The sequence below is a fragment of the Homo sapiens genome, chromosome 14 (assembly GCF_000001405.40).
Source record: "Homo sapiens chromosome 14, GRCh38.p14 Primary Assembly".
NCBI lineage: Eukaryota > Metazoa > Chordata > Mammalia > Primates > Hominidae > Homo > Homo sapiens.
The window spans coordinates 75,428,748-75,443,517 of record NC_000014.9 but is presented as its reverse complement, the minus strand read 5'-3'; the positions used below and the strand labels follow the sequence as shown (position 1 = coordinate 75,443,517).

At 50.0% G+C, this 14,770-nt stretch overlaps 1 protein-coding gene across 9 annotated transcripts in view, besides 5 other annotated features; it reads right to left on the bottom strand.

The window, feature by feature from the left end:
• Positions 1-14,770, bottom strand: part of JDP2 (Jun dimerization protein 2) — a 47,165-nt gene that overhangs the window by 30,590 nt on the left and 1,805 nt on the right. For 4 of the 9 annotated variants that reach the window (XM_017020973.2, NM_001135047.2, NM_001135048.2 and 1 more), the window contains exon 2: positions 5,397-5,620. In XM_017020973.2, coding sequence (XP_016876462.1) covers positions 5,397-5,597 — 201 coding nt within the window. In that variant the 5' untranslated portion in view covers positions 5,598-5,620. Of the gene's footprint in view, positions 1-5,396; positions 5,621-7,108; positions 7,328-11,181; positions 11,401-11,616; positions 14,429-14,770 lie in introns of those variants that run through there. The other 5 variants (XM_047430942.1, XM_047430943.1, XM_047430944.1 and 2 more) reach the window with 5 other exon arrangements.
• Positions 1,875-2,858: an enhancer, noted in NCBI's record as "H3K27ac-H3K4me1 hESC enhancer chr14:75907363-75908346 (GRCh37/hg19 assembly coordinates)". NCBI's record gives its function as "activates a minimal SCP1, AML or CMV promoter by ChIP-STARR-seq in naive H9 embryonic stem cells {active_cell/tissue: H9 hESC(naive)}" and the evidence as "EXISTENCE:reporter gene assay evidence [ECO:0000049][PMID:30033119]".
• Positions 2,773-2,822: a silencer, noted in NCBI's record as "silent region_5948". NCBI's record gives its function as "represses an Ori minimal core promoter by ATAC-STARR-seq in GM12878 lymphoblastoid cells {active_cell/tissue: GM12878}" and the evidence as "EXISTENCE:reporter gene assay evidence [ECO:0000049][PMID:35858748]".
• Positions 3,013-3,222: an enhancer, noted in NCBI's record as "active region_8748". NCBI's record gives its function as "activates an Ori minimal core promoter by ATAC-STARR-seq in GM12878 lymphoblastoid cells {active_cell/tissue: GM12878}" and the evidence as "EXISTENCE:reporter gene assay evidence [ECO:0000049][PMID:35858748]".
• Positions 4,062-4,564: an enhancer, noted in NCBI's record as "H3K4me1 hESC enhancer chr14:75905657-75906159 (GRCh37/hg19 assembly coordinates)". NCBI's record gives its function as "activates a minimal SCP1, AML or CMV promoter by ChIP-STARR-seq in primed H9 embryonic stem cells {active_cell/tissue: H9 hESC(primed)}" and the evidence as "EXISTENCE:reporter gene assay evidence [ECO:0000049][PMID:30033119]".
• Positions 5,572-6,075: an enhancer, noted in NCBI's record as "H3K27ac-H3K4me1 hESC enhancer chr14:75904146-75904649 (GRCh37/hg19 assembly coordinates)". NCBI's record gives its function as "activates a minimal SCP1, AML or CMV promoter by ChIP-STARR-seq in naive H9 embryonic stem cells {active_cell/tissue: H9 hESC(naive)}" and the evidence as "EXISTENCE:reporter gene assay evidence [ECO:0000049][PMID:30033119]".

Sequence of the window (14,770 nt, the reverse complement as noted above, 5' to 3'; positions counted from 1 at the left end):
GGAAATTACGGATTTCAAAGATGAGTTGGGAGATTCTGTTCCAAGAGAGGACAGATTGGACCTCTCTGCCAAACAAGTATGAGACAAAAAAAGCATCTGAGTCAGGGGGAAGAAGGCCAATGCTATTCCAAAGAGCCACAATTAAAAACCAATTATGCAAAGCTTGCTAAAAAATGTCAGTGGGCTGCCTTTACGTTTCAAATCACTAAAAACACAAGCATGCTTAGGCCAACATTTACCCAGCACATCAGCTGGTTTGGGGCAACTTTTTCTGCTCAGGCTAAACATGGATGCACGTCTTGGTCTCTGTTATGAACAAAGTCTGGGAAGACCACCTGGGGCTGAGTGAACATGGCTTCCAAGGCCGCTCTCTGGTCCATGGATTCCTATTCACACTTCATCCAAAACGGGAAAACCCTCTCAATGTTCTCCAGGGACCCTGGAGAAGATGGGAAATCGCCAATGTGAAATCCACAGACAGTTAAGTCTCCTCTCCAGCTCTGAAAATGATGAGGACACGGATCCGGTCCCCATGTGGAATACACACAGGAAACTGCCCTACGTTGGAAAGGGCAGTCCACAATGATACGTATGCACCGATTCCTCGGGGTGACACCCCCAGAAAGCTCCCTGACAAGGATCAGAAGAGCCTGAGGAGAGGAAGAAACCGCAAAGAGTCACATTCCCAAAAGTAGCTGAGTCATCTCTGAGCCTACTAGCTATACAGCTTCCCAGGACTCTACCCTCAGATATTCTGATTCCATGGACCTTGGGTGAGGTCTAGAAATTTATACTTTTTAAGAAGTTTCCCAAGGTGTTTTGATGACCAGCCACGTTTGGGAATGATTGGTTTGATTTTTGTTGTATTTTGTTTTTTTCTGCCTGAAGTCAACGAAATTTGGAAATAGCAAAACCTAATGAACAATGGCTGGAGATAAGAATTGGGAGGTAGAGCGATCAAGGAATAAAGTTTAAGTGACTTGCCAAGTTGACACAGCTCATAATGTTCAAACAAACAAGCAAGGTCTGTGGGACATAAACATGGGACACAGACTCAAAATCAGGCTGGCAACACAGATGGTATGAAGCGGGCTGGGGGTAAGACATCAGTGAGTAGTGGGGAATGCGGTGAACTCAAGGCTGTATACAAATACAGCAGGCATCTGCCCCTCAGCTCCAACCTCTTGTTGTGTATAAGGGTGTGGCCTTAAGTGGGTAGATATTCTGGTTTTTTAAAAGAAGCCAGAGAGTCCACATTTCCCGGCTTTTAAATATGGCAATTCATTCAATTTTTTAAAAAAGAAAAAGAAAACCACACTGTGATTTTGTTAAAAAAGAAAGAAAAAGCAAACCACCCTGTGAACAAGATTCATCTGTAGGCCGACTCCTGCCCCTTAACGACAGTGTGCAGCCTCTTTCCTGAAAGGTCATCCAGTTTAGCCTCCCTTGAACTCTTGAGTCCCCTCTAGAGCACCGAGACGTGGCGAGAGGGTGAGGGGTCCTGTCTAGCAGGTTGATTAGTAAGTGTCTGGTGTGTCTATGTGTGTGTGCAAGGGTGGGGCTTCAGGCCTCCCTCCCCTCCCAACTGAAAATGCATTCCAGACCCAGAGGCAGGGTGTGACCACCACAGCCACAGCTCGCTGGGAGATGACCTGGGAAGGGCCAAGATCTTCAGGCCAATAGGGACTGGTTGGTGGAGGAGTCCAGCTGTGAGGGGCTACAGAGGAAAAGTCAAGGAAGGAAAGCTCTGGAGAAAGCCAGAGAGCAAAGCTGTCCTGAAAGCGAATACTAGAAAAGAAAGGAGAAAGAAGCAACAGCTTTAAAAATCCCACAACCCAGGAAATGACGTTCCCAGGGTCCCTGGCCAACCATCAGAATGAGCAGTCCTACCACTGCCACGTCCTTGGTCTGCTTAATTTTTCTTCGTGGTGCTGACCACTAACTCACCTTATATATCGTGTATTAATTTGCTTACTTTTGGATGCCGTCACTGCAATATACGGTGCCGAGAGATGTAAGGCTTTGACTGCTTTATCTGTAGCTCTGTTCCCAGTGCCTGGTGCAGTGCTCAGCACATAGTAGATGCTTAACAAATATGGCTTGAACAAAGGGACTGCAGGCAAGCAGTTGGCACCAAAACAGTTTAACGTCATGTGTTGACCATGTAATAATAATGACATCAGCACAAAGCACTTTATAATTCACAAAACCTGTCGTTGAACTTAATTCCTCCCATTTTCTTTTACTGAATTGCTCCATGCGTTTGGACAGAGCCCAGGAGACTGCTGGCCTCTGCAAGGCAAACAACCCAAGAACCAGCTCTGACAGAGCTGCCCGCACAGCGGCTCAGCCGGCTCGCTCTCTCGCTCTCTCTCTCTCTCTCCCTCTCTCTCTCTCTCGGAACTAGGAGACAGTAAGGCTGCAGGACTGCAGGGCTCAGCACTCATCAGACAATGTCATCAAAATGATCGAACATTCTGCGGCCAGGTTCATCCAGCCTCCCCAGCTCAACAGAGCTCTGGTTAGAAGCCTGGAAGGGGTATAGAGGCATGGGAGGCCACACGGCATGTGGTTAAAGCTTGGGCTCAAGGCAGACTGCCTGAGCTCATTTCCCAGCCAGTGACCTTGGACCTCCCTCAGCCTTGTTGACCTCATCTGTAATGTGGGTATAACAACAGCAACAACACTAGTTACTTCAGAGGGTACTTGTGCAGGGTAAACAAGGTACTTCACAAAGAGACCTAGTACCGTGCCTAGGGCTTAGCTCAGCACAAGTGAGACCCGGCTGTAACGGCAGCCATCGTCCACCACACCAGGCCCCAGCGCTATCACTTCCCAGCAGTGTGACCCTGAGTGACTGAACCCCCTCCCTAGACCTCAAACTCTTCTCTACTATGGGGGTAACCTGGACTCCAGGACTGAATAAGGAATGAATGAAGTCATGCATGTTAAGCACTTTGTGCAGGTCCTGGGACATATTAAATGCTTAATGAGCTAGTATCTGATTATTATTAAAGAAACTTTTACTAGTCTAAAATGCCAATATGAAAATCCGCTCAAGGCAGTTTGCCATATGCAAATAGATCTTCAGACCATAGATTCTTCAGCTGCAAGTTTCTTTCCCCACCCCGCTTTAGGTTTTAGTTACTCCAAGAATTAGCTCTTCCCGCCCCTGGGGTCTGACCTAGGAAGCATTTGGAGGTCGGTTCGCAGTGCAGGGCTGGCATCTCTCTACATCGGTACAATCTCGCAGCTCCATCTGCCTCTTCGCCCCCACAACACTGCAGTCTGACAGCGAGGGAGAGGACATGCAAATATGCCCTAAAAACGGCTTGTTATTTTTGCGGCCTGGATGGTGCACGTCTGTGGGTGCCTGTGAGGACAGCACGTCACTGTCGGGTACAGGGCAGATGCCACCAATTTGGGGGTGGCTGTAAAATGTAAAAATACCCAACCCAAATAAAAGTGGCTTTTCCAAAAATAAAAAATAAAAAAAGGGAAGAGTTCCTCCAGTGCCTTTTGCAGAGGAGAGAGGTGTTAACTCAGCCCCCCAGGCGAATCCCAGCTTGACGACCTCTGCCCAAGACACCTGGCTCTTCATCAACCCCATGCGCAGCCTTAGTGCCCCCATGAAACTGCTCAGCTACTGGCTCTAAATGGCAATTTTACTGTGGAATGATCCAGAAACAGATGCTCTCAAGTTACAGACCTGGGAAGGTGAGGAGCAGAGGGCCAAAAGACAAGGACCCTCCATCGTGAAGACAGAACACTATATAAGCCGGGATGTGCCCCAACGACACATTGGCTTACAAGATCAATTCAGAAGAATGTAATCACCATCAACTCACAGCTTGTAATCCACAGTCTTTAGTAGGCACCTATGATGGACCTTATCCACGTGTCTTGAGCACAAATGGCTAACAGGGACCAGGCAGTAGAGGTAAATGAAGGCAGATGGTAGTAGCAAAAGCAAAACCAACAATGTAAGTAGGATCACGAATAACAGGGAGGTGCAGGGGCCTGTGGCCCACTGGAAAGAGGAAACAGTGAAGTGCCTCTGTCCACCCCACTTAGCCATTACCATGCCAGAACAGGGTAGTGTATGATGAGATCTTACAATTTTTTAATCAAAATTTTCAAATGAAATGGGGGTTCGCGTTTCTTTTAAAACACTGAGCCGGCCAAACAAAATACATCTGAGAGCCAGGTCCAGCCTGCAAATGGCCAGTTTGCCACCACGGCCAGTTTGCCACCACAGCCAAGCCCCCAGCAGTCCTCTGCAGTTTTTAGGTACCTATCAGGAGAAGGGGAGCTGAGAGATAGTTGCCTAATATCCCCAGCTCTCCCCTACGGGTACCCAGACACCCTTCTCCACGAAGAAAGTCCTCTCTCCAGCACTTCCAGCACTTCAGCCCTCCGAGCTCCCCCCAGGCTCATCTTTGCCTGTGAACTCTCCCTCCAAGCAGAGCTACCATTCCCAGATGCTCAGCTGCTTCCTGCGCCCTCCCGATCCCAGCCTCTTCCCCACCTCCCACCACAGGCTCCTCCTTTCCAGGGGGCAGCTACTCTGGCAGGCCTCTGAAGAAACGGCGCTGCTGGGAACCTTGCTGGGACAGGCCTTCAGAGAAACGGCCAGCCCTGGGCAAGTCGCCGGGGGCATGCCCTGCACAGATCCTCAGCCATGCCGGGGACTGCTGCTGCTCACCAGTGCCCCGAGAAAAAGGGCTCATGAGAGCTGCAGGTGCAAGGGACCTGAGGAGGAATTCCTTGCAAATGCCACATGTGGGTGCTCCACGTGTGGGTCCCGGGCAAACGCCATCTAAGGCGGACACTGCTGGCTGACCGAGGCCATGCCTAGCTCTGGCAGCTGCTTGGGAAGGGAGGCCACGCTACTCTTCCTCCAAGTTCCCTGGTTCAGCTGCAGAAAGGGCCAAGAGGGGTGGAGGTCACGATGTGACTAATGATAACAATTTTAAAAGATAACCTAATATTGGCATTCTCTTGTCTACTTTTCAAAACATGTACACATTCCCATTCCCATTATCTCCCCAATCCTCCCACCACCCCAGAGAGATGGCCAAGATATTACTATTCATTACTGTCATTATTATCACTCTTCCACCGCCCCCCAGAGAACCAGAGACAGGTTAAACATCCTCCCCTGGCCCAGTGCTTCTCAAGTGTTAATACGTCCACGAATCCCTGGGGGATCTTGTTAAGATGCAGATTCTGATACAGAAGGCCTGGGGCGAGGCCTGGGATTCCACATTTCTGATAACCCCAGGGTGGTACGGATGATACTGGTCCTCAGACCACACTTTGAACAGCAAGGTTAAGGTCCCATGGTGGGTTTAAGGCCAGACCTGGAATCTGCCAGGGGTAAAAGGCTCGCTCACCTCACTTTTCACGGGCTGGGGCCTCTTGCCCAGTTTCACCTCCAGGAAGTGCAAGGGTGCAATCATGGCCCCGAGGTTGCGGATGTCAGCGTATTTCAGCTCCTCCACAGTCAGGGCCGAGCTGGGGAGCCCGGTCAGGGGGCCAAGCCCTGGCAGGGAGCCTGTGGTCACCGAAGGGTCCGGGATCTGCCCAGGCATCATAGCAGGAGGAGTGGCAGGCCAGCCTGGAGTGGGCAGGAAAAGAGCAGGACAGTCAGCCAGGTTGGGGGCTCCAGGAGGGCTCAAGTCCCTCGTCTTGCCAGGACTGTGGCTTCTTTCACCAATGTTCCCCTGAATCCCTTTCCCACCCAGCTGCTCTTCCTGCCGTAAAGTCCTTCCTGTTATAGAGGAAAAGTTGCTCAATTAACTCACACCAAGGTCACCCTTGGCACTGCCAGAAGTGTCTGCCTTTTTTATTTTGAAGGCAATGCTTGACCCAATCATAGGCAACATGTATTCAGCCTTTGGTATGTGCCAGGCCCCATGGTAATCCTGCAGTCCCATTAGGCTGGATCAGAGGTCATTACACAGAGGAAGTAGCCAAGCTTAGAATGATAATTCGCTTAAGGTTGTACACAGTTAAAATTGGTGGAGCTGGGATTTCAATGGCAGCATACAGTCTCTGAAGAGAGCGAATTATAACGGCAGAACCTCAAGCACCTTCACACCTGTTTCAGAGGAAGCTATTTTTGGTCTGGCATGGTGCCTCCCCTCCAATCACACATCCTATTCTGCATATTTGTTAAGACACCCTGAGTAGGAGATGAAGCAAATCTAAGTTAAAGGTGAGTGTGTGTGCTATCTATGAGGAAGGGACTGAGGCAAAGCAGGTGGAATTAATTAGCATGTGCTTTCCCTGTGGAACCCAGTACCAGAAAACTCCTCCATGCTTTTTTTTTTTTTTTTTTTTGCCCAGGCTGGAGTGCAGTGGCACGATCTCAGCTCACTGCAACCTCCGCCTCCTGGGTTCAAGCAATTCTCCTGTCTCAGCCTCACGAGTAGCTGGAATTACAGGCACCTGCCACCACGCCCAGCTAATTTTTGTATTTTTAGTAGATACAGGAGTTCATCATGTTAGCCAGGCTGGTGTTGAACTCCTGGCTTCAAATGATCTGCCCACCTTGGCCTCCCAAAGTGCTGGGATTATAGGCGTGAGCCACTGCGCCCGGCTACCTCCATGTTCTCTTCATTCTCAGAGCAAACACATATTCCAGCTCTGCCCAACCAAAAAGGTGTACAAGGGAAGACAGATTCAGACATGGAAGAAGGATGTAAATTAGACAGGTCAACACCAAGGGAATTCTTCCTTCCCTTTACTGGGGGAAGCTCATGGGTAAGAAATGGTCATTTCAAGGCACAGATGGCAGTGAAGAAAGCTGGTCTGCCAATAAAGCCAGTCCCTTAAAGGGCTCCTCCTACCTACCCATCCATCCAGTTACTGACCACCTACTATAGGCCAGCAGGCACTAGGAATATGGAGGTCAGATGTGCAGTCTTAGCTTTGAAGCAGCCTTTTAAGTAGCATGTTAGTACAAAACTGCTCTTAGATTCTAGTCCTGGAAAGGAAATCATTTCTCCCTCTTTTCACCTTTCTGCCCAGGGCCATAAAATCAAAATATTCGCTGGCTTAGCACTCCTGAGGGAAAATCTTTGGCCTATCCTTCCATCTTTACCTGTCTCTTCCCATGGAGAGAGATGTATTTGGCAGAAGAGGGAAGATCTGATGTCCATCGGACAATACTTCTCCGTTGGGCAGTTAATGTACTCAGATGGCCACATGGTTCTTGGGCTCTCTGTCTCCTGCAGGAGTGGCCTTGGAGGGTGACCCACAACCACCTGCCCCCATTCAGCTTCCCAGGTCTAGATCATTCCAGAGAGGGGCATTTGTGAACCTGTTTTGGCCAAGAGTGCAAGCCATATTCTCCATCTACATTTCACTTTTGAAGGTGAAATTTGGTTCCCTGTCCAAGTCCAGAGTCTATTTCCCAATAAGTTCTATTTCTCTAAGAGAAAAAGCATGTGAGTAACTTGCACCCTCAAGCACAAAGGTTTCCACTGGCCATCACTTTGTCTAAAGCAAGGTGTCTAAAGCGAGGTGCCTGGGAATGGGAAGTGGACCCGCCATTTCATCCTCAGCATGCCTGCTGCATCTGTCATAAAGCCTCTGCCCATAGCTCCCTGGCTTGCCCCAGAGTTTTTATTTGGTGTCCTCAGGCTCCTCTAACTGTGCTCTACCTACTGTGCCTCCCATACCCGGTCCTCTTAGCACTCCTTCCCACTCACATCCTTTCTCTCCTTCCTTCACCCCGTGTCCCCTGGGCCATCAGAAAAAGATCTGAGGCTCAATCACATTGAGTTACAGTTTTAGAGCTGAAGGAGGCCCTGTGCTCATCTAAACCACATCCTCATTTTGACAGGAGGAAACTAAAGCTCAGAGAGGCTAAATGGCCTCCCCAAGGTCACACAGCTGGAGAGGATTGGAGCCAGGGCTCGACTCCTGGTCCCAGGGTTCTAGACCAAAGCTTTCTCACCCTTCCTTCTTTGTTTCCCTTTCTGGGGTCCAATAGGTAACGACGCCTTCAGCAGAAGGAATGACTTTCTCACGGTGGGCTTTCAGACACCAGCCCACAGTAGAGGGTCATTGTCTTGCACAGAGGACCCTCCACCCCCCATGGAGATCCAGGTTTAGGAAGTTCCCTGAATAACTCCACGGTAGCCTGCATGGGAGCCCAGACACAGAAATAGCCCCTGAGACCTCTCGCATGTGGGTGTTCAATGTTCTCTGATCCCCCAAACTCTGAGCTGGACTGGAGCCTAGTGGCAGTAAGAGAGCTCCCTCTCAGCCCTCTGGAATGGAACCTGCAATGCAGAGAGGGCTGCAGCCTGCCACGCTAGGAGGCCGCTCCAGGGCCCTGTAGATGAGCTGCACGTCTCCCCTGGCCTCCTCTAAGGAGAACAGGGAAGGGGCCAGCAGGAAGACCTATTCCTTGTAGCAAAACTGTGCCGGGAACAAACCATGTGGCCACGCGGCCAGCAGCGCTGTGATTCCAGGTGGTAAGCAGCAGTCAGGGCTGGTTGTTGCCCGGGTGACCCCAGTGCTTAGCATCATTTCTGGCGCAGAAAGCATCATCAATAATACTTGTTGAAATAATAACTAAGTGAATAAATGAATGAACAAATGACAGCAAATTCACAGCAGAGCAAAATTCAGCAAATGGTGTAAGAATCCATCTCTGGAAGCTTAGATGCTCGTTATCAGGCTGTAATTTCACCTCCAAGTTATTCATTCCCACAGTAGACCCCAAGAAAAACACTCCAGAGGCTTCTGTGTATTTCCCTGCCTAAGCCTTCCATCTCTGGGAGATGGAAGCCAGACCCCATTCTGTTCCGGGAATGATAGGCTCTGTTTGCAGCTTCTGTTTATTCTCATACAGATGGTAGAAATGAGACACTAACAAATGATCCCAAAATATAATGCATTTTCTGCTACTGTGGAACCCCCTGAAGGAGCGGCCACCCCCTGGGAGCACGGGCCCCATAAATTTTGCCATTTCTGCTCGCCTGTGAATCCATCCCAATGACAAGCCTCACCCAGGAGACAAGGCACTAGTCTTTCCTTTGTAGAAGCAAAAGTCCCCCTGTCTTTCCTCCCCCTGCAAAAGAGCCCCTAACTGCTCAGATATAAACCACAAAGCCCTCAGCCATGCCATTCCTAGGAGACAACCACAACAGCTGATATTCACCAGCCAGAAGTCATCCTAAACATTTCTGGGGGTGGGGGATAGAAGATGGAGGAGCTGAGCAGCTGCCTTTCATAATTGGATCCTCATTAACTGCAAAGAGCTGGCTGACGATCTAAGGCAGAAAGGCAACTTTAGTGATTTGAAAAATAAAACAATTTGATGTGATTTAGGGATCTATAAAAAAGGGGGAGTGGGGGGCAGTGGAGGTGGCAGCACCAAGGAACCAGTAACAGCCAGAAGGAACTTACCCACTTCAAGGAAGACTTAGGAAAGATGACAAGAGGTGAAATCATCTCCCACACTGGTTGTTCCATACGGAAACAATTTAGTAGGAAAAGAAGAACTACGCACTAAAAGCTTCAGAAGAACCCAGAGTTTTTTCCCTTCAGGGCCCAGGAGGTCTGAAAGGCAGATAAACATCCTCAGTGTCTCCATGAGTAACTAGGGGGCATAAATAAGGATTAAGTTCTATCCATTGGCAGAACACCAACATTGGGAAAAGGGGCTTATGCCTCAAAATATAGGCCTGGAATCCAAGAAGACTGGCAATGCGGGACACTGACCAGGAATAAGTTGGAAGCCAGCCAATGAAGGAAAGCTGGGTGAAGCACACATCCAAGATGGCGACTGACTAGCAAGGCATGAATCAGACAGACGAGGTTCAGAAGGTCACCGTGGACCCTAAGCTGTTGTTGATCCTAAGATTATGATGCAGCTCCCTGAAAGCCAACTTGAAGAAAATGGGGACCAGATGGATCCAAGAGGAAAGAACTTGAAAAAAAAAAAAAAAAAGGTCTGAGAGCTGTACTCCCTACTCTTCCTCAGTGACCTGTGGGCACACAGTTAGGACACTGCATTGTACAAGCAGAAGAAAAGCCACAAAACATGTCAAGTCTAGAAAATAGACCCTCCTGGGAGATACTAACATGAAGTGTCATTTCAGAGAAAAGAAAAGCTAAAGGTAACTTATTAAGCTTTTTCCTCTGGTTTTCCTCTCTCATTTTTTGTGTGTAAATCTGTAAAATATTAGGTTGGTGCAAAAGTAATCACGGTTTTTGCCATTGAGCATAATGGCAAAACCCGCGATTACTTTTGCACCAACCTAACCCCTTACATTTTTTTTTTTTTTTTTTTTTTTTTTTTTGAGACGGAGTTTCACTCTTGTTGCCCAGGCTGGAGTGCGGTGGTGCAATCTCAGCTCACCGCAACCTCCGCCTCCCGGGTTCAAGTGATTCTCCTGCCTCAGCTTCTTGAGTAGCTGGGATTACAGGCATGCGCCACCATGCCTGGCTAATTTTTTAGTAGAGACGGGGTTTCTCCATGTTGGTCAGGCTGGTCTCGAACTCCCAACCTCAGGTGATCCACCCGCCTCAGCCTCCCAAAGTGCTGGGATTACGGGCGTGAGCCACCGTGCCCGGTCCTTAAATCTTTTTTTAATGGAAGTGTCTATAAATGATAACAGTCTTGTTTTATGGGTCAAAGGTACAAGGGCCGTTCTTGCTAGAAAGTGCCCAACGATCAGCATTTTCATCCAGAATGGCAAAGGTAAATAAAAAGAAACAGGTTAAGAGAAACTTAGCATCTGCATCATGAACTTTCTGTCCATAGAAACAAAGGTTTCAAGGAGGCTATAAAACTCCTGGGCCTCTTTGAGAAGGTAAGCTCCCCTCCGGGCCAGCAGCTGGCTTGGGCTGCCACGAGGAATAGGAATGGGTGTGCACGTGGGTGCGGTCTAAGGTTCAAGGTTTGGTGCTGGGAGAATGCGGAGGTGAGAGTGACAAGCCAAGGAGGGAGGGAGTTTACAGGGGCAAGCCCCATGAGAAATAAGGGGTTGGAAGTCGACGGCAGGGCATGGGCAATGGCGACTGAGACTCAACAAGAGAAGTGGGGGACCTTGGGAGCCAGAGCCTGGGAAGATTCCCAGGACAGAACCGGATGCGGAGGGCAGGAGTCCACAGAGAAGGTCAGAAAGGTGCCAGGCCAGGGGTCATGGCGCATAGTACCTGCTACCATGAATCTTGGAGAATCAACCACCAAGCCTCTTCTTGGAGCTAAGGAATCACCCAGGATGACCTCTCTCTTGGAATCTGAATGACGTAGGTCACGCGGCTTCCAAAAGTCGAGGAGATCCAGAAGGCGAGAAGCAAGATGATGGGGAAGGCCCCAAGACTGAGAGTGAAGGCGAGCAGCAAAAGGCCCTCTTCAGATGGCTGTCCCCAGCTCTGCAGGCCAAGAGGAAGGGGGGGTTAAGAGTGGCGGTTTTGGAGCCAGATCACCTGAGTGTGAATCCTAGCTCTGTCCCTTCTTACTAGCTGTGTGCCCTTGGGCAAGTTCCCTAACCTCTCTGTGCCTCTCTTTCCTCAGCTGTAAAGAATAACAATGTTATTTGCCCTGTATGGCTGTCAAGAGGATTAAATTAGTTAATACTTGGAAAGTACCTGGAACAGTGCCTGCACATAGTAAGAGTGAAGTCAGTGTGGCCACCAGGGCCTTCCTTCCTGGAGGGGCACTAGTGCCAGATGACCCCTCAAGGTCCCTTCTGGACTAGTCTCTGTTTCCTGCAGCCATGAAGAGGATTCTCCCCAGAGGATTCTCCGCTCTCCCACTTTCCAGCTCTAAACCCCAAGGGGGCAGGACCATCTTGCATCCTGGCAGTTGACTGCAGAACAGAAACAAAGGGTGCCAGGTCAGGGCTGGGTAGAAGGTGCAGAAATGGGGCCCAGCACCTGCCCTCGGCCTCGGTTTCCTCTAAGGTCTCCTCCACCCTGCAGGCCAGAACACAGCTGCACAGACACTGGCAACAAGGTGCCATCAAGAACTAGGTTTCCATTTCTGCCCCAAGGCAGACAGCCAGCATCTCCTGTGCCCTCTACTCCATCCCTGCACTGCTTCATAAGAAGACAAGGAGCGGTAGCTGGGTTCAAGAGAAGCCACTGAACACTGGCAGCCGTGATCCCTGCACAGCCATCCCAGCCATAGAAGAACCTGGAACCAACCCCCAGGGAACTCCTGCTCTTCCCTGGAGACCAGAGAAATGCTTCCAAGGCCTTGCCTATAACATCGCTTTGTCCTCTGCCTAATGTAGGCGCTCAATAAATACATATGAAGTTATCTCTGCCAGGAATCTTTAACCCAGGCAGCAAGAGGAAGCTGGGAGCGTACAACCATTGGACAAGCTTTCTATTTTCCCTTCTACTTCACGCCAGCTCTGGTCCTTGGTGGCTGGCAGGGGTTAACACTACCACACCTAATACAGACACACACACAAGGTGTGATAATCGCCCTGGTCTTTTTTTTAAAAAATGCCACTGGCCAGCTGAAGCTTTGCAAATGGAGCTCTGCAACTAAATCCCGTGGGCTGCAGCAAGAAAACAGACTAAAAAACAACAACAACTAAGAATGGTGGGCTCTGGCCAGGCCTCCCACAGCCAGCAATAAGTAAAGAAACACAGTCTGAAAATTCCAAGACTGGGTCGCTAAGGCATTTGTCTCTGCTGAGTTCCGAGAGGCCAAACCACACACACACACAAGAACGCATGTGCACACACATGCACACGCACACACACATACACAGGCACATGGAGCTTGGCAGCCCCTAAGTTCCAGAGCTGGTAATACAAGCCACGGAACCGACTGCCAAGACAAGCAACAGAATGAGCCAGGCCCGGTTTCATTGGCCACCATACGCTGCATATGGCCCGGGACGCAGCCAAAACAGTGTTCTCACCCTCCTCAAAGGCATAGGAGACCCTCTGTTTTCAAACACACCTCCACAGAGCCTTAATTAAAGGAAAATGGAAAAATAATGTGCCTGCTGCCCTCCCCTGCCTATATAGGTATGCACACACACATACCCATATACACTCACTCCATTTTTCTCTTCCTCCCATTTCGGTTTCAAACATAATTCATTCGCATGGAAAAAAAGCAAACTGCATCCTGCAGCAGAAAGGCAGAAAAGAATGTAGCTTGCCCTCAACCCTGGCTCTGATTGCTCAAGTTGAGCTGGAGCTGAATGAATACAGAGCAGGCCGGCCTAGAGTCGGCGTTGGCCCCTTTCTTTCCAGAGTGGAGCTGGAAACAGACACTCGAGAGAGACAGCCCATTGCAACACCAGTAGCCCCACGACAAACAAGGCCCAGAGAGCCTATTCCTGCCAGGGATTCTGCAGGTTGGAAAAAAATGCCCACACATCCTACAAACAGGTAGGGAGATGACAACAAACCCAGGGAGTCAGGAGGAGCATTCCCTGGTAGCTGCAAAAGTTAGGCAGTGGATGAGTGGGGAGACCCTTATCCAAACCCTTCCTAGGGGGCATTGTCACCACTTTGCAACACATCTCCTTGGAGGTGGCTGCAGCCAACCTAGGAGAAAAGCCAGAGGTCTACACACCCATGACTTCCTGCAGCCCACCTAGGAGAAAAGCCAGAGGTCTACACACCCATGACTTCCTGCAGCCCTTCAAATCACACAGCACCCAGCTCTTCAGGAAGATTCTGGAGCTGCCTGCAGCTCTGAACCAAAGCCAAAGTAGAAGGGAACAGAAGAGTCTTTGAGAAATCCATCCTCCCTGCTCTAAACAAGGCAAAACCTTAACCACCCAGAGGTGTGAGAATAGATTTTGCTTCTCTTCCTCGATCCTCAGGTTTATACAAAATCAGAGCCATGCTCACACCTGATACCTGGTTAAACTCTCCCCTAGAAACCTGCAAAGGAAGATAAGCTATCCATCCAAGCTGCAGCCAGATTTGCTGGAAAGGTAAAAGCAATGGGAAGTGTTTTTTAAAACCCTCAGGGAAGGAAGGTTGGGGGGAAGGGAGATGATACGCGAATGCAGTTTCTACCAAGGGCTTAAAGGACGTTTGGGTACAAATGTACCCAAACATGGTTCAAAGCTTCCCAATTCCTGATGCTCCTCCAATTAAGACCCTAGGGAGAGACCACCAAGATTTAAGCCTGGGTACACACGCCTAAGCAGGCTGCAAGCCCTTTCTGAGATATAGACCTGAGCACATTTGCCCTGAGCACACGTGGTCGGGCCATAGCCCCATGCCCTGGATTCCAACAGGGAGGGCAGCACCCTGGGCAAGGGCCACGCCATCTTGCAACTGGAGATGACCCAAGGGGGTCGGCTGATTTCTCCTTCCACCAGCCTCTCCATCCCTGCAAAAGAGCCAGGACCTCCCCATCTTCCCCAGCCTCCTCATCTTCCCTGCTCCTCCTACTGACCCAGGCAAAGCCTGGCTCTGCCATCCCAGGGTCCAGGGATCCAGGTGGAAGGCCCAATCCACCCCTACACTCTCCCACCCCCCACTGCACCCCTACCCCTCGACAACCTCCTTTGAAGGGAGGAGCAGAGGAGAGCCTTCTAAGCTGGGCTGGGCAAGGGAGAGGCTGGTTACCTACAGGAGCCTGCTTGCCTCCTTATATAACCTGGCGTGGGAGACAGGAGAGCCCAAAGGGGACCCCGGCCACCCCTAGATCCCCTCCCAGCCCAGAGCTCCGAAGCAATGGCCATGAGAGAAGCTGCCTTCATTGGATGGAAATCCCGAGCCCTTCTCAATACTCTCCTCCGGGTCCGGGTCCTCCGGG